Below are 27,533 nucleotides of genomic sequence, written 5' to 3'. Positions count from 1 at the left end.
TGGATCACATGTATGGACAAAGAAAATGTAGTACTTATACAAAATGGTGCTCATACATAATTTGGCCATAAGAACAGAATGAGATCCAGTCATTTGCAACAACATAGATGGAACTGGAGATCATTATGGTTTTGTTTTGTTTTGTTTGTTGGGTTTTTTATTTGTTTGTTTTGACACAGCCTCTTGCTCTGTCACCCAGGCTGGAGTGCAGTGACACGGTCTCAGCTCACTGCAACTTCCGCCTCTTGAGGCTCAAGTGATTCCCCACCTCAGCCTTCCGAGTCGCTGGGACGACAGGTATGTGCCACCATGCCTGGCTAATTGTTTTGTTTTTTTTTTAATTTTTAGTAGACACGAGGTCTCACTATGTTGCCCAGACTGGTCTCAAAATACTGGCCACAAGCCATCTACCCACCTCAGCCTCCCAAAGTGTGGAGATTACAAGCATGAGCCACCACGCCTGGCCTGGAGAGCATTACGTTAAGTGAAATAACCCAGACACAGAAAGACAAACATCACATTTTCTCACTTACCTGTGGGATCTGAAAATCAAAACAATTGAATTCATGGACATAGAGAGTAGAAGGATGGTTACCAGAGGCTGGGAAGGGTAGTGGGAGGCTGAGAGGGAGGTGGAGATGGTTAATAGGTACAAAAAATAATTAGAAAGAATGAATAAGACCTACTATTTGATAGCAAAATAGGGTGACTATAGTCAATAATAACTTAATTGTACATTTTAAAATAACTTAAAGAGTGTCATTGGATTGGTTTGTAACTCTAAGAATAAATGCTTGAGGGGACACCCCATTTTCTATGATGTGCTTATTTCACATTGCATGCCTGTATCAAAACATCTCAGGTACCCCACAAACATATACACCTACTATGTACCCACAAAAATTTAAACAAATAGAAATAAATAAAATGGATTATAGACCTAAATGTAAAGTCTAAAATTATAAAATGTTTAGAATAAAGCACAGAAGAAAATATTCATGACCTAGGTTTAGGCTGTTACTAGACATGACAATAAAAGCACGATATATAAAGAACTCACGAAACTCAACTGTAAGAAAACAACCCATTTAAAAATAAACAAAAGATTTCAACAGACACTTAATTAAAGAGGGTATATGGAAGACAAATAAATACATGAATATGTGTTTAAAATCATTAGCCATTAGGAAAATGCAGATTGAAATGACAATGAGATATCACTACATATCTAATAGAGTGACTAAAATAAACATTCTGAGAACTCCAGGTGCTGATAATCACATGAAGCCACTGGAACTCTTCTTTGTTGCTAGTGGGATGCAAAATGGTACAGGCACCCTAGAAAATAGTTTGACGATTTCTTCTAAAGTCTACATTAATTACCGTATGACATAAAAATCTCTCTACTGTGTATTTATCCTAGAGAAATGAAAATTGATGTTCATTCAAACACTTATACATGAATGTATATAGTGGTTCTGTTCATAATTGCCAAAAACTGGAAACAACTCAACTGTCCTCAGCAGGTGAATGTAAGAACAAGCTGTGGTACAACCATACCACAAAATGCTACTTAGCAATAAAAAGGAATGCATTATTGATACTCACAGCACCTTGGATGAATCTCAAAAGCATTTTGCTGAATGAAAGAAGCTAATCTCAAAAGATTACCTACTGTGTAAACCCATTTATGTGACACTCTCAAAAAGACAAAACTATGGTGATAGAGAGACAATCAGAGGCTGAAATGAGGTAGCGGTGGGGGAAAGTGTGACTAGGATGGGATAGCAAGAGGGAGCCATTTGGAGGAATGGAACTGTTCAGTACCTTGATCATTGGTGCTGGTTAGAAGGAGCTATACATGTGTTATCATAGATCTGTGTACCAACTATGCTCAATTTTACTGTATGTTAATCTAAAATAATTTTTAAACAAAACCTTTCTCACTAGCAGTCCCTTAATATCTTAGAAATGCTTAGAGTTTCTTGGCCAGGTGCGGTGGCTCATGCCTGTAATCTCAGCACTTTGGGAGGCTGAGGTAGGAGGATCATGAGGTCAAGAGATTGAGACCATCCTGGCCAACATGGTGAAACCCTGTTTCTACTAAGCATACAAAAAATTAGCTGGGTGTGGTGGCCTGTGCCTGAAGTCCCAGCTACTCAGGAGGCTGAGGCAGGAGAATCACCTGAACTTGGGAGGTGGAGGTTGCAGTGAGCCAAGATCACGCCACTGCACTGCAGCCTGGCGACAGAGCGAGACTCTGTCAAAAAGAAGAAAAAAAAAAAGAAATGCTTAGAGTTTCTCAGGAGATAAATATAAACAGCCTTATTATTATCCCAATTTCCAGTATATTCTGACTTTCTTTTCTAAACTTTATGAATATATGATTTGTTTACATTTGTCTTACCAAGGAGAACCACACATTTAGAGAGAAGCAGCCCTCTCTCTCCCACGCTCACAAGATAAATGTCAGTCCACTTACACTTGCTCATCAGTGATACCATCCTCATGACATGAAAACATGATGATGAGAAGTCTTCAAACCACAGAGAAGTGCTCTGAGTACAGCAAAATGTCCCAGTACATTATCATTTCTCTACTGGCTAAGACAAATTCTGCTCCAGATGCAATAGGATAGCAGTTGGAGCCGAGACTTGTGCAAAAGGCTGATCATATACAATAATTCTTCTAGAGTAAGAGATGCTTGTACCAGAATCAGGCAAGATAAAGGTGTTTAGGACTCTTTTGAAGAAACCATGTTTGAAAACTTTAAATGACATGTGCAGCTGCGGTGGTTTCAATATGTGCTCTCAGTTAGTTGATACTCCTTCTTTCAAGAGGTGGAATCTAATTCTCCTTCCCTTGAATGTGGGCTGGACTTAGTGACTCACTTCTGACAAACAGAATAAAGAGGAAGTGACAGGTATGTGCCTTTGGAGGCTAATTTATAAAAATCACTGTTGTTTTCTGTCTGATCTCTCTCTCTCTGTTTCATCACTCACTCCAGGGAAAGCCAAATGTCATATCCTGAGGACACTGAGGCAGCCATATGGTGAGGCTCATGTAGAGAGAAACTGAGGCCTTCCACCAGACTGCCAGAGAGTGAGACTTTAGATCACCGCAGCCCTGCTGACCTCCTAACCACCACCTCCTAAGCCAGAACCTCCTGAGAAATCCTGAGCCAGAACCACTTAGCTACTAAGCCTCTCTTGAATTCTTGACTCCCAGAAACTATGTGATAATAGATGTTAGTTGTTTTAAGCTGCTAAGGTTGGGTCAACTTGTTACGCAGCAATAGATAAATAATACAACAACCATATTAGTGTCAAACTGTTCTTTGATTTAGAAAGAAGAGAAAAGGAAGGGGAGGCAAGAAATGAGATCAGGATTCAGTTCAACATTTTTACCAAGGCAAGTAATTCAAGTTATCTTAACTTCTTTCCCTGGAGGCCAGGGAATTATATAAAGATCCAGAGAATTTCCTAGAAATGATTTTTGAAATTAATCATCTTCCTGCATAGACATTCTCAGACTCATGTTCCAGGTGGCAGCTGGGGAAGCTACACTGAATATCGCCACCTACCTCCCACCAGGGATTTCCAAACTGCTTATTTATCAAGCAGCCTTTTAAATAGGATATGTTATATAAACAGAGCCTAGCAAAGGACTGTGCACAAGATAGGCACTCGATAAACGTATTTTGGCGGAGCAATGGCTGCTGTGTTTATTCTTTTAATTAGCAAACACTTGAGTTCATATTCAAGTCAAAAAGACTAAATAACAAAACCTGAAACCAAGGTTAAAATCATGCTCCGTTTCTCTGTACTCATACGTAAGGAACTTTCTTTTCTTTTAGCATATGCCATGAGACAGTTGCATGAGAAGTTACTCTAAGAGAAAAGTATTTGATGTTCGTGTCTTCTAACACTGAGAATGGAAAATCTACCCAGCAACTCACGAATCAAAGAACACTTAATAGAAAAATAGGCTTGAGCAGCACTGTTTGTTGCGTTCTTTTATAGGAAAATTGAAAACATAGGATCACAAGGGTCAGATGGTTACTATTGGAATCTGGCTCCTATGAAACATAATATGTACCATTTCCCCCACCAAAATTGTGTTACTTTGTCCAAGTCACCCAATGGGGCACAGGATAAGGTGTTTTTCTGATGCACATAACCACCTAGGTTTCAAAAGGACATCTATTTAAAAGTGAGGTCCTGAAGAACACCAACAGTGACAGAAAAATGATATTTTTCTGTAACCTCAGCATCACAGAGAATAGTTCCATAAGAAATAGTTGACAAAAACAGAAAACTTTATTATTGAACATATATAGCACTATTCGGCAAAAATCCAATGCTGATGGCAACTTCCAAAACTAGGCCTTCTACCTTCTAGAGACTCTCATTCTGTACTAGAGTTTTAAGAAACTCAGAACACTTTACAGATCAAGGTGCCTTTATGACTTTGTTTTGTGGATGGATCTGTGTGTCAATAAGAAATTTTTAAAAATATCAAACAAATAGCAACTATCAAGGAAGTAGGAGAGAAGAGGGGTACAACAAAGAAAAATCAAACTTGAGGTACAATTTCACATGATCTTGCACATGGGGTTTAATAAGGTTTCAAAGTCAGCTAATTATAAAACTCTATAGATTAAATAATTGGCCCATGAAAGCTTTTATTAAAATGTCACCTGGATATCCCACTCCAAAAACATCCAATGCCATCTTGGTGTGAGTAGCCAGCTGCTGGCTTCTGAACAAAGGCTTTGAGTTTAGACTCAATATGGTGCTGTTGCTTTGAAATCTTGGAAGGAAGGAAACTACTCAGTGTCTCTTGCTTGATCCAAAGCATCCCTCATAAAAGTCTGCAGTGTCTCAACTGAAAATCAAAATGAGAACATCCTATATACATTAATGGTGGCCACAAATTTCAAAGAAGAAGGAGAAATGTATATAGAGCTGAGAAAAATAAGTGTGTAGCAACCCATTTTATTTCTAAGAGACGTCTAGAATTTCACAGCTCTGAAGAGAAAGGCAGAAAAACAAATAATTATTTGAAACAAAACGAAAACTTTGCTTAATCAATCTGTTAAAAGCTGTTGTGAAAGCATTTTTCTTCTCAAAGCGGAACTAGCTTACTCATTACCTCTTTCTTCCAATGAGTAATCCCTCCCTCTCTTCTCATTACCAGAAATACCTACTACCTCTTTCCATATGGAAAGTGAAACCCGACATTTTCTTTTCTAATAACAGCATCTGCGAAAATCACACTCTGTCCTGGATTTGCAGAGCACTTTCCTGCTTCATCCTCATAGAATCAGGCACTGAGTAAATGGGTAACAAATATCTGTGAGAGTGAACACACTGGACCTAAAGGTATAAGCAATGGCAATAAGAGTAATTCGGGTGCCATTGGGGGCTAAGAGCATGCGATAATCTCCTCTCTATAAAATTCCCAGAGGTCACTCAGACAGACAAATTTAAATTTCTCCTGAGTTGGAAGGTTCATTTCCCCTGGAGCTACATAGGCCACACTTGGACACCTTTAATTCTTAGAAAAGCACTCATCTATATTAAATGGAAATTTGCTCCCTGGAATTTCTACCCATCAGGCTCTGTTTTGACCCCTGGGGCTCCAGGACAAATCCCATGCTTGTCCATATCGCAGCTCTCTGGTGACTGGATATCACAGCTCTCTGGTGACTGGATGGCTGCTGTCTCATCTCCCATGAGTGGCATTTTCCCAGTGGTCAATCCTAGTGAAACAGGAAAAGTTCCCTTGTCCCCCTTGCAGGGCGTGCGATGGGGGTGTGGCTCGCTTCTTCAGTGCCCTGCCACTCAAACCTCTAGGGAAGCACACAGACGGGCAGGCTGTGGGGCCCCAACCTAACGGCAGTGTCCAGCGGTGAATGTTTACAGCTGAAGCCCCAGTGGGTGTGTATTACAGGGTGCTGTTTTAGTTTAGCCATCCATAGGTGGCTTGTGTTAGTCAGCTCAATTAGACCCCTGTCTTATCACAAGGACAGAGGGCTTTCTGTATCCTGGGATTCTTGCCTTGGTGTACCAGAAGAATCGGATCATACATGGGCTTGGAGAATGAATGCAAGGTTTTATTGCATGGAAGTAGCTCTCAGCAGATGGAGGAGCCAGAAGGGAGATGGTTTTCCCGTGGAGTACGGCCGCTTGGCCGCCCGACTCTTTTCCAACCACCTCAGCCACACTCCGCATTGTTCTGCCAGTCGATGGCCTGCCAGTGTGCTGGTGTTGTGCTACACTGGTGCATTCCTCTCGACATCCAGCCACCCATGTGTTCCTCTGCTGATGTGCTCCTCTTGACGTCCAGCCACCTTTGTGTCTGCCTGCTAGGGTTTCTAGGTTTTTATAGGCACAGGATGACAGTGTGGCAGGCCAGGGTGGTCCTGGGAAATGCAATATTTGGCCACAAATGCAGGAGTCCCTCTTCTCACCTAGGTCCGTGGGCACCGGCCGGGGGTGGAACCCTCACCAGGGACCATGTCCTTTTCTTCCCAGCACCTCTCTGCCCCCCTTCCATATCACTAAGTCGTTAGCGGTTCTTCTGTGGGCATGTTTCTGGCAGTGTGTTTTGAAGTCTAGTGCGAAAGGCCTCTACATTGTAAGTACCTGAGGAGAACCTTCATTGTGCAAATTTCAGAGTCCCCTCTTCAAACGCTGTATCAGATTCTCTGGGGTTGAGTCCTAGAATCTGACTAGATTTAGCAAATGCCCAGAAGACTCTTAAGCACACCACAGAATTCTCACCAGCCTCATCACTCACCTCTCAATGGGCCCCTTTGAACAATCACCTAGGACGTCTTCCAGTAGCCAGGTGTAACCTACAAGAAACGCGCTGTAGATAGTTCAAATGACTGCATGAAAGAAATACAATTAAACTTTGGAAATGGTCTGTGAAATCAGAGCTGTAATTAACTCAAAATGGTATTCACCCAGTGTTGAGGGCAATGTGCCACCGGATGCCTCTATGCGTGGCATGAGCTAGGTGGCTTTACGGGTGATGCCTGTTTAATCTTCCTGACCAGCAAGATCAGTATTTTGCCCATGTTCTATAGATGAGAAGACTGAGACTCCTTAGGGATGAGTGATTGATTTGTTTAATATCACAGAGCTGGGAAATCGAACCCAGATCCCTCTCAACCCAAAGCCTATATTTTCTCTCCTACTGACCCTCCACTCCCCACCTAGAGGTACTGAAAGAAACATACTTGATTTCTGCAATTCTATTTTTCGATATGGTCCCTAACAGACTCCTGCTGCAATGTATGGAAGGAGGACCTGCAAGAATGATGATCTTATTTTAAACTTTTGTCTCTGACTCATTCACTGGATTCCTGAGTGACGTGTTTAATATGCAGATAACACTTTCATGGTGGGATTGGCAATTATCTGCCATTCCCTAGCTCAGGACTCTGGACTCAAGTGAATGGGATGTGATAAAATGACACTTAAAATGGAGCTTGAGGAGTTCAGTGTGAGCTTCAAAGACATAATCCACAATGGTGCACAGGACCGAAAAATTTCCCCCTAAATTCAGTCTGTCTACAATACTATTTTTAATCTTTTTACATGGCAGCAGGAAAGAAACACCTAATGGAAATAACTTTGGGTAGCAGTAGGTAAGAGAGAAAACCACTGTGTTAAAGGAAAGAGCACCAGCACAGGAAACAAGATTTTTTAATTGGTTCAGTTCTTGATACCCCAGGCCGATATTTTGAGCAAGTAGGGACAGCAAAAGCACTACCTACGAAAGCTATTCCATCCAACCTCCCACCCCAAGATGGAAAATGCCAAATAAGCAAAGACACCTACACAAAAAGTTCATGTCTTTATTTAGAAACTCTCATTCTGCTGTTAGGAGAAAGTTCCTAGTAAAGACAGCCAGTGGCTCAGTAGAGATGAAACTGTCAAGCAGAAAGAGAAATCACACAATTAAGAAAGACTCAGAATTCAATTCCTCAGGCTCTCATTCCCATAGTGGGCATGAAGCCCCTTTCTGACCCAATATAGCTTCCCCCTCAAATCTAAAAAGCAGAGCATTCTCAGTTCAGCCTGGGAGCCATGAATGCTGCATAAAGATGATGGCGGACTCAAGAACCTCCAGCATTTCCTGACAATGTTTATAAGGTGAACTTTGTTCCATCCACAATTACTTGTTCCCTTCTCCTGGGTTCAGCAAGGTAACCAGAATAATGTCAGGAGGTGTGACTGCCTCAAAGAAAGCAGAAGAGGAATAATGCCTGGTGTTCCATTTATTTGAAGTCACAGCCATATTACATTATCATGGATGGACCTTGCTAGGTCTCCATTCTGGCAGCACCAAATTGGAACTAAGAAGGTGTTTCAGTGAAGAATCTGTGCAGCTATTTCTGGGAACAAAAGCAGGCCAACTGCAGCAGGGGCCGTGTTAAGACAAATGGCCCACTCTTGAGTGGCGTACCATAATGTCTCTACGATTAGATGGATGAGAGGTTATAGTATGCCATAGATAGCCACAGGACATCCACTGATAATCACACATTTTGTTCTACTGACAGATAACAGCAGCCCACAAATGAGATGAGCCTCCTCTGTATACACACATCACATGAAATCAATACTTAATTACAGCAGGGCCTGCATGTGTTGTCAGTAGGTTCTGGTTAGAAGGCTACACAAAACTTCTTCTCTAGAGCAGTGAGTTAAGATGTAAAGAGGGTTGGAGCATGATGGCAACTGACCACTCCTGAGTTTTAGATTCAGTGAATTGCCATTTGGACACTAGGCTTTGGTTGCAGAGCAGCACTTAGATACAAATAATTATGCCATTAAGGGGAAGAGCAGGCACCACCTGGGATGGCAGTTGTTGCTAGAATTCTACTTCAGGTCACATTCGTTTGTGGATATTCCAAGCCCCGTAATACAGACCTGGGGAGAAGTGGGCAGCATCCAAGGAGTGTCCCTGGGGAAAAGCAGTGTGGCAAAAGGAAAAGAACAGAGGGCATCGAATCAAGTGACATGGGCATGGATATCAGCTCTCTTGCCCCTGGCAAGCCTCAAAATATCTTGCAATTCAAGCTTCTAATCCATAAGAAAGGGGTGATATTCACTCTATCTCTAAGCCAAAGGGCACTGAGATGCCACAATGAGATCAGATAGGCAGAAAGTGCTTTGTAGACAATAAACCTCCAGACCACTGTAAGAGACTATTTTTATTTCAGGAAGTGATAGAACCTGGGTGGACAATATCATGAATAACAGAAGAATAGCTTCATTTATTAAGTTCCCAGTGCAACGTTAGGCAAGGTCATACTGATACACACGCAAAAAAAGAAGAGAGATGAACGAAGTTGGAGGAAAGATTCCAGTTAGAGCCAAGGATATAGGCAGGGGAATCTAGAAAATTATTTCATAATTCATCTATGCCATGCTCACATAACTACACAAAACAGCATTTCACTTGAAAGATGTATATTCATCCAAGAATTATCCTATTGTCCTATTAAACATTTTTCAGGTAATTTGTATAGCCACCTCTTTTTGGAATGTAATGCTTTTCCTTTACCTCATACAGAGTCCTAGGGGTTTGTTTATTTGACAAAACACCTAATCATTCCTTGAAAAAAAATGAATTTGGTGGGTAGAGCACTGAGAATTGTTTTTAGAAAATAGCATGAAAAGATATGGAAGGGAGAGCATATTAGAGAAAACAAGAGAAAATGTTCCAGGGGCTCCTGTATAAAATGGCTTAAAGGTCTTGCCTTCTAAGGAGAACCTGGGTTGCTTGTGCAGGATGATACAGTTTTGCAGTGGGCCCAGCTTCACTGTGTACCAGCAGTATGACTTTGGGCAGTGGGTTGACTTTTAGGGGCCTCAGTTGCCTTATTAACAAGAATGAACATGAGGACTTCAAAGCCTTGTTGCAAGGACCCCATGGGCCAATGCCCAGGGCTACATTAGCAGGGTGGGTACTGCATCCTTCCACACACTTTCAGTGTTTTCTTGGTCAGCCCTATCGCAATGCCTTTCTTAGTGTGAAGGCTTCCTTGAAACTAACCAAGGAAATCTGGGTGAGGTTTTCTCCCTGGACTTGTATTGCTCAACCCCTCAGCAAAAGCAGAGAAACTCATTTCACTACTGAGAAACCGGCCCAGTGTGGAAATGAAAACTTCATTCAATTCATAAGAGTTGGCCTGTGTGAAAACAGGACATAGCCATCAGACACCAGTGCCCAATTTTACTAAAACCAAAATTTTCTATAGGTGGGCTAAAGTGAAATGTACATTATAGTACCCAAGCCTCACTAGGTTCCTCCTTATACATTTACTAAATAGCATACATTTGACAGTGGTAGTGTGTTGGGGTGTTGTAGAAAGGATGAGTATTATAACGTCCTAAATTATAGTGACACCACATTGCATAAATTACATGAATTCAAGATTATGTGACATATAATATTTTGAGCCTCTCTTAATGTACAAAATTTGAAATAATGTAACCTCCTCCTACCCAATTAAATTTTGTTGGCAATCACATAATTTAATCTCAGCATAAAGAAGGCAAGTGAACTGTAAACAGAGTTTACAGTAGGGCTACATGGGAACGCTCATTTAGCTGGCAAACAAACACCCTCCCATTTTTGGCTGATATTATTCTTTGAATAGGTGAATTTTGAATTATATAAGAACATATTTCTCCAATAAAGTATGACCTCTCTGTGTATGTTTCTCATTTATCATTTAAGAACCAAAAATCCAGGCAGATTCCTGAAGCTTGCAGACTGCTGGGAACCAGCAACACAGAACATTGTTTTAGAAAGAGGAAAGCGAAGACTTTGCTTTATAAGGTATGGCCTAAGTCTGGTGGGTAGATAGCATTTCACGCATCTCATCTGTCAGGGACGCACATCCATGGGGTGGACATTGATCTCATTACCCAGGGAATGCTCAGGACCTCAGACCTTCTCCTACGTTTCTGTGTCTCTCTTTAGGCTCTTGCAGTCACTGCTAGAGGATTCTCAAACTCACAGGAACATTTGGAAACCACTGTAAGCTTTCACAAAGTGCTTTCATATACTTTAATATAGATTGCTCTTGGTATCTATGATAAGTTTGTGAGATATGTAAGATGGGGAAACTAAGATGCAATGAGAATAAGAGTGTTGCAAAAAGTCACAAAACTCAGTAGTATGAGACCCAGTCATCAGATCCCAGCAGAAGCTCATGACATCATGCCAAGTTCTGTTTGTACTTTGGAAATAGTCTAAAAGGAGATGGTCATTTCTCCACTCAGTGTTAGGATCATCACTCAGGGTTAAGGTGAATAAAACTTACTCACCCTCACACCATTGACTGTATGGGTCTGCTGTTTTTGGCTACACAGTGTCCATCCTTGTAGGGACCCACCCTCCTCCATTGGATATAGCCTGGTGGGACAGTTGATGGAAGTATCCTACTCTCTCCTTCCAAGGATGAACTTTTGAGTAAATAGGTCATTGAATGCTCCCTTCCAGGAATCTTAATTTAAACCAAGGATTGAGTAGAATGAAAATGCTTGGGGCTCACTCAGGGAGCCTTTGCACACTGATGCTGCTGCAAAATAATTCCTGTAAACTAGAAATGCCTTGATTCTTGCCCTTTTCCAAGGCTTCTTCTTCAGCCTCCCACTGATTCTGTAAGCAATCCCATTCCTTCCAACACATTTCTGCTTGGTTACATTAGCCAAAATCCATTTTTGTTACTTGCAATCAAAGAAACCTAGCTTGGAACCCAACTAAGTCTACATCTTTGCATTTACATAGTGCCAAAAGAATAAAAAGGATGAGATTTCCAGTGTGTGAATGTGTGTGTGTATACATCTACATGCTTTTATTCTCAGAAGTGTACACCTCATGCCCAAGAGAAAATGCTTTGCAACTTTTATGATATCTTGTACAACTACTAAAAAAATATTTTGTTAAATGTTTATGAGCTAAATAGGATTTAAGATTGCTGTTGTTGAAATGAAAGAGAAGTTTGGCTTAATTTAATGTCTGTTTAGTATTTGTTACCTTGAACAATTATTTTCCTTCTTCATTTATTTTTTCACAACCAAACTCAATTATATGTCTGTGATGATTGGATTATATAGTTGTGTTCACAGATGTCATATTATTCCAATGATTTCTAGTCTTCTGGTAATGCACTAGGCCTACCTGTTGTGTGTTTTGAACAGCAATAGCAACAACAAATGAATGAAAATATTCCCTTTGACTTTGCAAAGACTGAAGCAATTACCCAGAAGTTGTGGATCAGAAAACCCCAAGATTTCTGTCAAACTTAAATAAATTGACTTTATTACTTTTCCCCCACTCAATCGCTTACTTTCTTGATGGCATGCTTTTCCCATGATCCCAGTAATTCTAAAGCAATTACATTTCCAAGAAAAGAAATGCAATAAGCAAAGTAAAGTCATAAAATGAGGCTCTGAATGCATTTCTGCCATCTTTGGTTTGATGTTTGATCCTAGAAGATACACACTGAGTGGCAGGGAAATAGATCATTTGTAATCTTTATGATGATGACAGCAACAAATATTGCAAAATGTCCTTCCATGACTGAAGATGCTTGCTGAATTCTCTGTAATTTTCAAAAAAAATATTGTATTAGGTATCAACATATGCACAGCAAGAGACTATCCTCGTCAAGTTTATGATCATGTGCCTAGAGGATTTTAGACTAGAAATGGGCTGGAGTATTTAGTTCCCACAGAGATGATCATATTGATAAACTGCTTCCCCAAGTTTATTGTTAAGGTTTTACCTGAACTTGGATGGATTCATGTGTCTTTGTTTACACAACATTTTGGGAAATATAATACATAAATTGTGGTTACAGAAGGAAAGAAGGAGGAAGTGAGGGAAGCAAGAAGGGACGAAGGGAGGGACGAAGGGAGGGAGGAAGGGAGGGAGGAAGGGAGGAGGGAGGGAGGGAGGAAGGAAGGAAGGAAGGGAGGGAGGGAGGGAGGGAGAGAGGGGAGAGAAAACTACCATCTTCTATTTCAACTTATGATGTGTAGGCTAGGCAATTACACATTATCACTAAAAAAACTCAATCCCACAAGACTTCTCCATCACTCAGCCCCTACCATATTCTCTCCGCTGATTTATATCAGTTATTTTCTTTTCTCAATATACAAACATATGTTAATATTATCCCATAAAGAGCATCATTTAGGAAAGCAAATATCAGTCATTGTACAGGATAGACACAGCTCAGCGGAAAAGGATTTTAAACTTTGGTTTTGGGGAATTATCTATGCTGCTCTTTCCTCTCATGGATGCAAATACTAAAAAATTAACTGTATCTACAAAATGTATTTCTGTAAAAGAAGCATACAAGCTTAATTAAGAATTTAACTGTGAATGTTACAGTAAAAGAATTACAATTGTGTCTAATATGAAAGGTTTTAATTTTTCCCCTGTCTAATTTATTCATTATTTAGGTAAAATTATGATAATCAGGTATTAGATGCCATATTACACAAATGAATGGTATGAATGTAGAGTTTTAAAAATGAGCATATATTCCTGCTTTTGATTTTACCAAATTTAGGAAAAGCATAGGTTATACATATTAATGAGGCTATATCACCATTTAAATTTGCCAACTAATCATCATTCTATCATTCTAAATATTCAGTTCTGCATTCAAGCTACCTACATGCCAGCCAGTTTACCAACAGAGTGTATCTTTACTGTCTACAAATGCCAGAAATCTCCCACTCTAAACCCAACACAGATCTGGGCAGGCACCATTGCCTCAGGGGAGGCTCCCCACCCTTCCTTGCCTTGGATTTGAGAATCGTCTTTCATGCTTTCAGAGCAAGCTGTCCCTCCTCTACAAAGAACTCACCATCCTGTAGTGAAAGGCTGTTTCTGATGGCAGACTATGAATTCAGAATGCAATGGCCATGTCTCCTCCCTGCTGTAGCCCAGTGCCTGGTCAAAATGTTCATTAGATGTAGGAGTTGTCAAAGGAATGGGTGGATGGACGCAACAAATATTGAATATGTATTAGATGTTGTATCTCTGGGGATATGGCTATAAACAAGATAGGATCCCAGCCCTTAAAAAGCTTACATTCTATTAAAGGGCTGCTCTCATCTGTTTTTGTAAGATTCCAAGATTTGTGCCTAAGAGAGGGGAACCGCCCTTTCATGACTCTTGCACCATTTTTAACCCAGTATCTCTAAACTGAAGCTTTTAATACAAGGTCAATAACAATGAAGTACTACTCTTACTTCCCACATATCATTTTTTTGTAATTCAGCCTTCCTTGGGCCCCTCTGAGAGAAGAGAAGTGGCTGGGCTAAGGCAGGGTCTGGCATTTCTGGGTTCCTGATCAAATTCTTGTCTTCTGGAAGCCATCCTACCCTAGCTTTGGCAATTGGCCCTCATATAATTCTCTGTCTGGGTTCCTGTCTTGGTAATTCATTTCCTATCATTCAACTGTGTAATGTGAGAAATGCTCTCTGATTATCACCTTGTGTCTATATACCATATAAACCAGCACTTAGGATAGCTGTACCATGAGAATTGAATCTTGTCCATTGTTCGCTCATCCTTTTTTCAATATAGCTGGACATATTCCTCAGAGCTTGACACATTTCCTGCAGTAACAACCTGTCATTGCCCACCCTATGCTACTCTAACCCCATTTTATTCTTTATACGGTGGCCAGAATTACCCTTTACAGAATATGTAGATCACAGCACCCCACTCCCTGACTCAAAACTCTATGAAGACTTCCCACCACACTTGAACAGTCCTTACCCCACCGTATGAACCCTCACATGAGCCAACTCCATTCTCATTCTTGAGTCTTTTTTCCTCACCATCAGCCCTTTCCTCCAACACTGGCCTGGCCTTGCTACTCCCAGAATATACAAAGCCTGTTGCCATCTTCAGGTTCCTTCTGCCAAAAACACCCTTTCCTTAGATATTCCTATGTTGGCTTAATTCAGTCGCTTCTCAAATATCATTTCCTTAGAAAGACCTCTCCTTGTTAATGCATCAAAAACAGCCCTTGCCACATTCTATCTGCTTTCTGACATCATTTTTCTCAAATCACTTACGTTATGTGTTTATTTGCTTATTGTCTGTCTTCTCTCCTAGAATGTAGACTCCATTAGTGAAAGCACTTGGATTTGTTCACCTCTCTACCCCAGGGCCTAGAACAGTGTCTGGCATGAAGTAGGTACTCAGTAGTTTATGAAATAAATGAACATATTTTCTTGGCACCAAACTGCCTAATTGCCCTTCAGAGTGTCATCTCTTCCTGAGTTACCAACAACATGTTCTCCCACATTAACCCAAGTAAATGCCCTCATAGCACAACTAATTGTCTAGATTTGTACTACTGTCCATCTAGCCCCCATGAGCTACATGTCCCACTTGAAATGTGGCTGGTCCTAATTGAGATGTGCTGTCAATGTGGCATACACACCAGATTTTGAAAGCTTAACATGAAGAAGTCAGTGTGGGGATTCCTCAGGGATCTAGAACTAGAAATACCATTTGACCCAGCCATCCCATTGCTGGGTATATACCCAAAGGACTATAAATCATGCTGCTATAAAGACACATGCACACATATGTTTATTGCGGCACTATTCACAATAGCAAAGACTTGGAACCAACCCAAATGTCCAACAATGATAGACTGGATTAAGAAAGTGTGGCACATATACACCATGGAATACTAGGCAGCCATAAAATATGATGAGTTCATGTCCTTTGTAGGGACATGGATGAAATTGGAAATCATCATTCTCAGTAAACTATCGCAAGAACAAAAAACCAAACACTGCATATTCTCACTCATAGGTAGGAATTGAACAATGAGAACACATGGACACAGGAAGGGGAACATCACACTCTGGGGACTGTGGTGGGGTGGGGGGAGGGGGGAGGGATAGCATTAGGAGATATACCTAATGCTAAATGACGAGTTAATGGGTGCAGCACACCAGCATGGCACATGTATACATATGTAACTAACCTGCACATTGTGCACATGTACCCTAAAACTTAAAGTATAATAATAATAAAAAAAAATTTTAAAAAGATCTTATGTTAGAAAAAAAAAGAAAAAAGAAAACTTAGCATGAAGAAAATAATGTAAAATAGCTTCTTGAGATTTTTTAATTGACTGCATGTTTAAATGATAATAATTTGGTTATGTTAGGTTAAATATCATTAAAATTAGTTTCATCTGTTCTTTTTATCTTTTTAATATGGCTATTAGAAAATTTAAAATGACATATGTGGTTCACATTTGTGGCTTGTCTTATATTTCCATTGAATGGTGCTGTTCTGACAAAGACTATTCTATAATCCAGAGACACAGCGTATAAAGCAGAAAGGGCATGGGCTTTGTGTCAGATAAATAGGTGGCAATTCTGGCCTTTCCCACACTAGCCCTGTGACTGTGAGCAGGATATGCAAATTTGCTGAACCCCAGCTGCTCGTTTGTTCAGTGTGTGTAACGGAAGTTACTTTGGAGGGCAGTCTTGAGAAGGAATGAAATGACATGCAGGAAGGTCTGGTGTTCAGCCATTCAGAAAATTCTGCTCCTTCCCATTCTTTCATTGACTACAGAATATTGCTCTCCAGATGTCAGTCACACCCTTTCAGTCTACACCCTAAATTTCCTGTGTTATGAGCTATGGAGAGAATGAAGCATTTGTGTAGTCATTTGTCAAGCATGCTGGAGTACCAACTCTGTGTGAGGAATTGGGCTGGGGGCTGGAAGCAAGGAAAATGATTTTTAAAACTCCCAGGCACAGTGAAGAAGAAGGTTCTTGCAGTGTCCTTGGTGATGCTGGGCAACAGAGCCAACCTCGTGCCTATGCTCTCTTCCAAGCACCAGCCTGAGGCTCTTCTGCAACTTCTCTGGCCTTCTCCAATCCTGCCAAGCACAGCCTACTCATTCTAGGCCTGTGGTGTGGCTCTGAAGGGCTACGCCTCAGAATCTGCTGGAAAGCTGAATATATAAATAAGCAAAAGCCAAGGTTTCCCAACCCCCTACCTGGAGGTGTTGGGTAAGACCTAAAAATGTGCATGTTTGGAAGTTCCATAAGAGATTCTGATGTGTATAAAATCAGGATTAAGAATCCCAGGAAGGGTGTTCATAAATTATGCATTAGCATTTTTATTTTGACCTCCGCATGAATTGGACTCCCTTATGGAAACCACAGAGCCTCCCTGAACTTCAGGTTCTTTATCTAATCTGACACCTATAAATAGGGCAGCTATCAGGATTGAGTGGCATAACGCATGGGAAGCCCTTCCATGCCCAAATGGACTCCATGAATAGTAGGCATTTCAAGATTATTAACCCATTTATACCTGAGGTTGCAATTTTTTGAATTTTTGCAATCAGACCTTGGCGATGACCTTGAGCAATAGGATATAAATAACTCCCACATGCTTTGCGTTCCAATAATGGGAACACTAGGTGTAAATGGGTTTTAAGAAATCAAAGAAGGGCCAATGGTGCTAAAAGGAAAGAGAGCTTCTCTATTGTCATTGCCTCTTATATCTGACATTTTTTACTTTTCTCCAAATTTCAAGCCATCCATTTTCTTTACTAGGTTTTATATTTTTAGAGAAGTTTTAGTTCACAGCAAAATTGAGTGGAAATTACAGAGTTCCCATATACACCCTGTACTCACATCTGCACAACCTCCCCCCACCACAACGTTATCAACATCCCCCACCAGAGTGGTACATTTGTTACAATCCATGAACTTCCATTAACACATTATTATCACCCAAAGTCCATTACCATGAGGTTTACCCTTGAGGTTGTACATTCTGTGGGTTTGGACAAATGTGTAATGACAAGTATCCACTGTTTCAGTACCATCCAGAGTAGTTTCATTACCCTAAGTGCCCTCTGTTCCTACTCCCTCCAACCCCTGGAAACTACTGGTCTTTTTACTGTCTCCACAGTTTCACCTTTTCCAAAGTGTAACATAGTTAGAATCATACAGTATGTAACCTTTTCAGAATGGCTTCTTTCCCTTAGTAATATGCATTTAAACTTTCTCTATGTCTTTTCATGGCTTAACAGATCATTTCTTTTTGTACTGAATATTTATCTATTCATCTATTAAGGGAAGTCTTGGTTACTTCCAAATTTTGGGACTTAAGAATAAAGATGCTATAAACATCTGCATGCAGGTGTTTGTGTAGACATACGTTTTCAACTCCTTTGGGAAAATATCAAGGAGTGAAATTGCTGGAGTGTATGATAAAAGTATGTTTAGTTTTGTAGGAAACTATCAAACCATCTTTCAAAGTGACAGTACCATTTTGCAATTCCACTAGCAATGAATAAGAGCTCCTGTTGCCCTGCATCCTCACCAACATTTGGTGTTATCAGTGTCATGGACTTAGGCCATTCTAATAAGTACATAGTGGTATCTAATTGTCATTTTAATTTGCAATTCCAGTTGCCTAATGACATGCCACATCAAGCATCTTTTCATATGCTTCTTTGCTATCTGTGTATCTTCTTTGACATTCAGGTATTTTGACTATTTTTTAATTGGGTTACTTGTTTTCTTATTGTTGAGTTTTAAGTTATTTTGTGTGTGAACTTTCGATAACAGTCCTTTACAGCTGTCATTTGCAAACATATTCTCCCAGTCTGTGTCGTGTTTTCTAATACTTTTGAAATCTATCTAGTTTTTGTTAGTTACTCTTAAGCATCTAGGACAGGTATTCTAAGTTCTGGCCTGGCTGGACATTTTGTATTTGTGCAACAGAGCAATTACTACCAAAGGTCCAATTGAAATGTCAATATTTTAGTTAAGACTAATGAAGACCTGTCTCCTGTGGACAGTGGTTCTCCTTTTCCCATGCTGTGCAGATTTTCACTTTCCACTTGAAATGTGACCTTCCCCAAACACCCTCACTCAGCACCTTCCCATAGAGACCCACGTTGACTGGAACAGGATTTCTCAACCGTGCCATAGGAGACAAGCACCAAAGAGTCGGTCAGAAGCTACCCTGGATGGCTTAATTTGGGGATTTTTTTTGTTCACAAAGTAGACAGCTCTGAAGTTTTTTTTTCTAACTTCCCTGGAGATTTCAGACAGTATTTGGAGCACATCTGGCATTTCACTTCATCTTGAGAGTGAGCTGAGACCCAGCCTCTCTCTCAATGCCTGGTCCTGGGGTTTGGCCAGGAACCCATTGAGCTGAAGAGAGAAGAGGGAAAAATTACAGAATGCTTCTGAGATTCACACAGAGACCCTTCTCTATTATCAGAAATGTCAGCAGAGTTCCCAGGAGAATCAGGTGGTCTCACCATCCAACTATATTTTTATGTTTTTATAATCACAGAGAGATTTCTTCATCGTGTTGTATAGCAATTTCTTGAAAAGTCTTTTCTCCCTGCCTTCCCCTAAAGTTCTTCCCCATAATGGAGGTGTAAAAAAAACAATCAAGTGCTTTGTTTATTTCTTAAACCCAGTGTCTAAACCTAATGTTAATTATTGAGTAACAGCTTCACCTGGTGAGGGAAAAATAAACACACACACAGGAAGTCATCCAGTTTTTATTCTGAAAACAATACAGGTAACAAATCACAACTGTATTGTTTTCCCTGGGATGCTAACACAGATGTAACAAATGTGACAGAAGGAACAAATCACTATTGAAATCGCTAAAGCATTCAATCAAATAATTTTTCCAGACCACAAAATATCCTATTATGTGATGGTGACAAGTGCCCTTCAGAAGCCTTTAGTGCCTTCCAAGTTTCTCTGTGTAGCAGCATGAAGTGACTAGTCAGCAGGTACACCACATGGCTGTGAAAACCGCCCAGCTTTACACAACCAGGGAGAGTAACCATCTCCTTAACATTCTCATATCTGACGCTTAGTTTCCCCATTCAGATTTTCTTGGCTTAATGTCCTTATGTGACTAGTTTTCATTAGCCATTTCACAAATCTCTTTCCTCTTGCTCTTTTATTTTCTTCTATGGCTTTGGAGAGGGGTGGGGAATGGCAGATTTTCTAGAACTCCAATCTTTTGACTTAATTTATGTTTCCTACTTGAAAGAGTCCATTTCAGCAGGAGGCCCAAAGGGCTGACGTGGTTTCCCAGTCCAGATCAGAAAAGCCCCGCAAGATTTGACTTCATGAGCACTCGATACAGACAGGTCTACTCTCTTGCCCATTCAAGGGCAATTATCACAGATTTTAAATGTTGGACCTATTTTTAGGGCTCTTTCACTTAACATTAAGTAGATGGCCAATAAAAGGGATAATAAAAGGGATTTAATATTTAAAAGGGTCAATAGGTAATTTCTTAGGCCTTAAAGGAGACAGTAGCATAAAAATTATGAACTTGTTTGGATACACTTAGTTTAATTTCTATGTAGCTTCTTCAGAGCGTAGAACTTACTTATTGGGGTTGGAAACTACATTGGAGAGAAAACTGTACATATCCTAATGTCATTTTTTAAAAAATAATTTCATTTGGATTGAAATATTGTGTTTTTTAAGAGGAAAGGTGTTTTGTGTTTGTTAATAAATAGGTCAAAGAATAAACACAAGGAAGAAATGCAGAATTGCAGGACTGTACTCTGTTCTCATGAGCCACTTATTCTTTGATTGGATATAAAGGGCAAATTGGTTGGATATTAAATTCAGTGTGTACAAAACACAACAGGAGAGCTGTGTCCATCCTCACATCTCCGGCCTGACTTGGGAAGAGAGAGTTAAGTGCCACATTCCCCAGTTGGAAGGCTTTGATCTCAAATGGCCTCATTGCTAGGCCTAAGATGCCTCAACTGGAGGTCAACATGGACATCACTGGACATTGACAGTACAGAAGCTTCTAGACCAAAAGGAAAGTCATCAGAATTAACATAAAATAAACTGATGTATTCATATATATCTCCTTTTGCCATCATAACACCGAAAAAATACTTCTTTAACTGAGGTGGGCAAAATAGGTGATAGTAACTCATTTGACATGTGGGAAAATGAAGATTAAGTAATTTTCTACTAGCTCCCAAGTAGAAGAGGTCCAAATGAAAGTTAACTCCAATTCTATGTTGTCTCCTAACAATTTTAGAAGAGTCAGTTTTCATTGTAAGTATAACCATCCCATTTATCAGAACTTTCTTTCTACCAATATGGAAACATAACGTTTCCACCTTTCTGTCAATTCTGATCCATCGGTAATAGGAGACATCACCAATCAATCACAGCACTCCATCCCACTGGCACAAGACACAACCTGAGAATCCTTCTCTACCTACTTCTCCAAGCAGCCACTTCCTGACTGGGGTGAATGTGTGAGAATTTTTCCACCAGCACCAGAGGAGCTGTGAGGGCATGCATGGCAGGAATTTGACATCCTTGGTGTATCAACTCCTAGGTCATCAGTAATTGTATATATGTAAACAGCTCAACTAATGTCCTCAAATTCAGTCATCCAGTTGCCAAAGTATATTAGACACTGTGGGGAAAAGCAGTAGGGGTCAGGCATAAGTCTTATCTACAAGGCGCCTACATTCTATTAGGGAAGAACACTAAGCTTGGAAAAGCCTGTACTGCAGAGTGGAGAATTCTTAGTACCAGTCATCAGTGCTCTGTTCACAGAAAACCAAAGGAGTTCAGAGAAAGGTAGGATTACCCTCAGCTGAAGGGTGCACAAATAAAACTTCATGGCTTACATTGGAGCTGGGCTCTGCAGACCAGGTATGACTTGACCACGGGAGTGAGGAGGAGAAGGAGGAGAAAGGAATATTCCAGACACATCAAAAAGGCACAGAAGCAGGAAAATATAAGGAGTAGGTGGGAAACAGTGAATAGTTTGGTATTAGACTTGCAAGTGCTTAGGGATGGTAGAAAATAAAACAAAGAGTAAGTATGAGTCAGAGTAGCAGGCACTGTATACCAGGGTAAGGATTTGGAGATATATTTTATGGGCAATGGGGAGTTAATGATGGCTTTGAGAAGATGGGCGCTGTGATGAAACCTGGGCAAAGGAACAAGGTCATGAGCATCATGGAGAATCAGCTGAGTGGAAACAGGCCTGAAGCTCAAAGGGCATTGCAGAGGAGAATTGCAACTCCCAGCCTCACGTTGGAAAACTTTAGTGCCTCTTTTAGATAGTACAGCTGTAAGAGAAATAAATACTTCTGACCAGCTTTAGTACCTGCTTCTCTCTCCTGTATTCAGATTCTGTGTTGACCTGACCTGGAGGGATCTGGCTGCCACTTAAGGGAAGATAAAATACGACCAGCCCAGTAATGGAAACCAGCAGCACAAATGCAACTTGCTTCCTCAGCTACAGAAAAAAAAATACATCAAGAATTCTCTCTGCTTCACCTGAGCGGGAGTCCAATTTATCTGCCAGCTCAGGGCTTCACTATCTTTATGGAGCAGGGGAGGGAGAAAGAGGAAGAAGAGAAACAGGAAGAGGAGAAAGGTCAGGGCAAGGCACAGAAGTGTTTCACCCCAGAGAACTTAGGGGCAGAGGACAAGCTCCAGAGAACTGGCAACCAGCATTTACTGAACAATTTTAGACTACAGGTGTTTATCAGTGTTATCTCATTTAATCTTCAAAACGACATCATGGACAGAATACTATTATCTTGACATTACAGATAAAGAAATCCAAACTCAGAGTCAGTGAAACCAAACAGAACCAGCTGAGAATTTTTCAAGAGCAAAGTTGCTTTCCAAATATTCTAAATCCAAGTGGCTAGTGAGCAAGGTAGGTCTCAGCACAGCTCCACATGGCTCTTTGGACATATTTTTTCCACCGCACAAGTCAACCTCTTAACCTCAAATACCTGCCCTTGTTGAGGTCCAGTTATGACCAGGAGTGGGCACAGAGGCTTTCATTATCCTTCATTTCCTTGTTTTTATTCATTCCCTTAGCTCTCTTGTCTATATTGATTTGGATTTTTTGGCCTTTTTTGAACAATTGTGTTTATTTCCAAGGAATTTTCCAGCTAAGCATCAAAATGACTCGTCAAGCTTGGCTCCTGTGTCAGCTGCTTGACACGCGATAGCAGCTCTGCTCTTCCCTGGAAGATCTTTTCGAGCCACTGATGCCTCCCTTTCTCGTCCAGATTTCTGACATGAGTGTGACAGCTGTGTGCACCACTCTATTTCATTTCTGTGTTTTACTTTCCACTCTAGCACACTAAGTTTCATGAATCCATTTCTTGGTGTGCTCAGTAAAGCCCTCCATGGAAACTCTGGCAACACACGCTTATTGCTGTGATTTACTGCTTGTCTCCTACATTTTGTAGATGCCAAAGGATAGATCACTATTGCTAAAATATTAATGCTGAGTCCCAGGGGAGAATAACTCAGAGGACAGTGGGCAGGAAAATGGTAACGTGAGCTAGGGGAATAAATAGAGTCAGGGAACAACAGGCCAACTGTGGACTCAGAAGCCCACACAACAGGCATCAACCATACGGACAAGGGATTTTCTTTTTGTTGTTATTGTGGTGGTTAATTCAATCCTATCCTAGTAGCCCTTAACCTACGGCAACAAAGTGCTCCTTGCCTTGCAACTTTTAGATTTTCTTGAGCTCAGGAAGATAATTCTCTGTAAGGTCTGCAATGGGAAAATTTTGATGAAAGGCTACTGGGGTCAAAATAAAAGGGCATTGCATGCTTAACCACGAGATAACTTGTTTGTGGCATGGATCTTCAACACCATGATGTAATAAGGGCCACGGAAGTCTGAGTCTTTTTGGTTTTCTCCAAAATTGAATTATCTTCATTGATTTCTTTTCTGAGTTATAAAATTAATTCATGCCCGTTGCAAAAATTTCAGAATTATATACATTATATACGTCCTCTCCACTCCGTAAAATAACCTTGGTTAGGAGTGAAATAAATATTCTTAGTAGTAGGTTAGGAATGCAAAATGTATTTTTTAACACAAAGGGATACATACCATAACTAATGCACTATAATCTGCTTTCTTCTGTTTGGCTCTATATCATGGTCATATCTCTATATCAAAACAGTAGTCTTCCAGTTAACGATAACAAAGTAAAGATATGTAATTCCACATTTCTCCTTCTAAACCCAGAAAAGCAATTTGAAAAAGTAAAAATAGAAGGAAAGTATATCCCCATAGTAATGACAGAGGTAGATAAAGAAAATTCCAAATCACACGCTGTGAACCACAAACCACAAACTCTGTCATGTGCTTTGTAACCTGACCCCAAATGAGAAAAGTCACTGACAGCTACACGTAGCCTTCATAGAAATTTAGGCAGGATATAGAATTCCTTCAATATGCAAATGACCTAGTCTAAAATGGTCAATGCAATAATTCATTGATGGAAACAATGAGATATAGAGACATAGGCAAGCCAAAGGAGAAGTGAGGTGCCTCAGTCTGTTCCCACTGCTATAACAAAATATCATAGACTAGGTAATTTATAAAGAACAGAAATTTACTTCTTACAGGTCTGAAGGCTGAGAAGTCCAAGATCAAGGCAACAGCAGGTTCACAGTCTGGTAAGGGCTGCTCTCTTCTTCCAAGACGGTACCTTCTTGCTATGTCCTCAGATGGCAAAAGGTGGAGAGGCAAAAAGAGACCTTGCTACTTCCCTCCAGCCCTTTTATAAGAGCACTAATCCATCCACAAGAGAAGAAACCTCTTGACCTAATCACCTCCAAAAGGCCACACATTTTACTACTGTTGCATTGGGGGTTAAGTTGCAACATGAATTTTGGAGGAGAAAAGAACACTCAAACCACAGCATGGGACTGTCACTGCATAGTCCTATTCTTTCCCACAGCAGGAAAGCTAAGTAGGTAGAGCTCAAGAAGGCGCACGCCGTTTATATTATCCAAAACCCAAGCTTACAAACAATGTTGCTTGCTGACCTGATTTGCCCATTTTATGCCTACCATCCTAGTGCAATTATAAATAGAAGCCCCTTCCATATAAGGGCAGTGTGATCATTTGAACAATAAATTTTATGGCCTCTGTATTTACTACTAAAAGGGATTGCTGAAGATAAGGTGGGAAAAACAGAGGAAGGATAGCGGTAGTCACTGGATTACAAGCAGGGGATTTTGTAACTTTTAAGGGTTACTTTCTGAGCCACAGAAACACTCAAAATACTGAAACCCACATGGTGATATCACGCTGGGCAGAGAACACAGGAGTGAAACCTGAATTGAAGCCATTATAATTTACCCTCTCCATACATCACTTTGCATTCTTATTTATAAGCCAATACTTCATTTTATTTGAATTACTAAGTTATTCAATTACTTAGTTAAATTACTTGATGATTAGTAATAATCAAAAAGGATGCAACAGAAACAAATATATAGGTAATTGGTGGGGAGGGCTGGAGAGGATGAAGAAAACACCATCAACAAAAAAGAGATGAAGAAATACACATTAAAAGAAATTGCCCCCATGGTCTCAAATACATGATGTCTGCAATAAAAATAACTCAAGGTAGAAATTCAAGATGTTTCAGTTATTTATTGCTGTATAATAAAATATCCCAAAGTAGCTTAAAATTTTACTTTCTTACAAATCTGCAATTTGGACAGAGCTTAAGGAGGACCATTTACACCCCATATAACATTTGCATAGATGGCTCAACTAATTCACTGATGAGTATCACTCAGATGGCTGGCAACTCAGTGCGGAAGGTAAGCTGAGAGCTCAGCTAGGCGTGTTGCATGGGTTCCTTGGTTCCCACCCACATGGCTTTTCCACCTGGATAGTTTGGGCTTCCTCGCTGCACGGTGGTCTTAAGATAGTTGGACTTGTGTGAGAGACTACTTCCAAGAATTCGGAAGTGGAAGCTGCCCAGACCTGACATAGTATTGCTTCCGGCACATTTTACTGCTTAAAGTGGGCGACAGAGCCAACCCAAATTCAAAGACAGGGGACTAAACTAGAGCATAAATACTGGAAGGCATGGCTCATTAGGAGTCACTAAAATAAGAGTTTATTGTCATGTACCTTTGATCTCCCTCCCACATGCAAAATATACCCCTCTAACTCCCAAGAACCACCAGGACCTCATCTCATCCATTACAGTCTCAGATTCTGTTTTGGAGTCCAGAGTATCGTCATTTAAATCATTTTCAGATATGACTGAAGCTCCTCAGGTACAGCTCTTTATCTGAAGGCATGTGACCTAAAGAGGCAAGTTTCTAACTACCCCAACACGCTCTCAATACACAACGTGAGATGAGAATGGGTCAGAAACACTACAATAGACACTCTCATTCAACAGTGAGGACAATAGAAGGTACATAATCATCAGAGGTTCACAGCAATTCTGAAATTCAACTGGGCACATATCACAGATTCCTTGATCAGGACCCAGTTCTGCCATAATCTTTGATCATTTCCCATTTCTCTTGGCTTTAAGCGCTGTGCTTTAGCTGTTTCCTTAGAGTCATTCTTTCTTTTAACCCACATAAAAAGTTCCATGTGTACAGATGAGTCGTTTTCTCAAACTTCTTTTTACTCAAAGTAAGTTAGAGGTCTGGAGGCCTCATTTTATTCTGAACTATTTCTGCTATCTTTTAGTATAAGCTGATATAATCCCTTTAAAAATTCTGTGGCATTCCTAGGTATCAAGTTATAATTTACTCCATTAGACAAAAGCAATACCCACAAAGTCTATCTCTACTTTCTGACTGTGAGTCAAAGTGCTATAAGATAAGACTCGAGATTTTTAAAACTCCCATCGTCTAGCTGAGGGGTTCTACAAATCATGCACTTAAGATTATTACAAGTCCTTTTTTTTGATGAGAAAGGGTCTGTGAGACATCACCTTATATCTTTCTAACGTCTTAACAAATGATTTTATAGGTTCTTGAATGCAAAGCCACATTTTACAGGCAGTGTTCTGTTATCTTATATTTGCCCTGAGACTATGACTTAGGTTGAGAAATTTCTCCTGACTAATAATATTGGAATGAGAAATAGTTTTATTTGCTAAGCCAACAAGTTCTACGATGGAAATACTTCTTCTAAATTATGCTTAAAAAATAAAATAGTTCCTTCTTTAGTTTCTCTCTTCCTGACTGTACTTATAAGTAGCTCAAAGAACCAGGTGGCGCTTTCAATATCCGTGGTGCTTTCAATATCCTGTCTGGAAATAACTTAGGTAGATACATAAGTTAATTAGATATTTATATTTTTCCAAGTTGCTACAGGAGCTAGTCTCATCAACTGTTCTGCTAATGTACAACATAACCTTTCTTTTATGAAACTTTCAATAGTGTTCTCTTCCCTTTGCTTCAAGCCTCCACTGACAGTCACCCCAGGACCTTTCTGGCCTCTGCCCAATGCCAGATTCCAAGCAAAAGCCCTTTAGAAAAAGTTCCAACAGGTCAAGCCCCAAGGTGCAAAAATATTTTCTTGAAATAAAAATCTAAATCTATAGTCAAAAGGACATAACTCAGGAAAAAGTAATACAAAAAGAACTA

General features: G+C 40.2%; 1 long non-coding RNA gene across 1 annotated transcript in view, besides 2 other annotated features; it reads right to left on the bottom strand.

The window, feature by feature from the left end:
* Window positions 1-27,533, bottom strand: part of CFAP20DC-DT (CFAP20DC divergent transcript) — a 724,471-nt gene that overhangs the window by 419,717 nt on the left and 277,221 nt on the right. The gene's annotated exons all lie outside the window — the stretch shown is intronic.
* Window positions 5,132-5,191: a silencer, noted in NCBI's record as "silent region_14492". NCBI's record gives its function as "represses an Ori minimal core promoter by ATAC-STARR-seq in GM12878 lymphoblastoid cells {active_cell/tissue: GM12878}" and the evidence as "EXISTENCE:reporter gene assay evidence [ECO:0000049][PMID:35858748]".
* Window positions 5,362-5,421: an enhancer, noted in NCBI's record as "active region_20015". NCBI's record gives its function as "activates an Ori minimal core promoter by ATAC-STARR-seq in GM12878 lymphoblastoid cells {active_cell/tissue: GM12878}" and the evidence as "EXISTENCE:reporter gene assay evidence [ECO:0000049][PMID:35858748]".

The sequence above is a fragment of the Homo sapiens genome, chromosome 3 (assembly GCF_000001405.40).
Source record: "Homo sapiens chromosome 3, GRCh38.p14 Primary Assembly".
NCBI lineage: Eukaryota > Metazoa > Chordata > Mammalia > Primates > Hominidae > Homo > Homo sapiens.
Note: the sequence above shows the minus strand (reverse complement) of the source record. Positions and strands in the feature narration are given on the sequence as shown.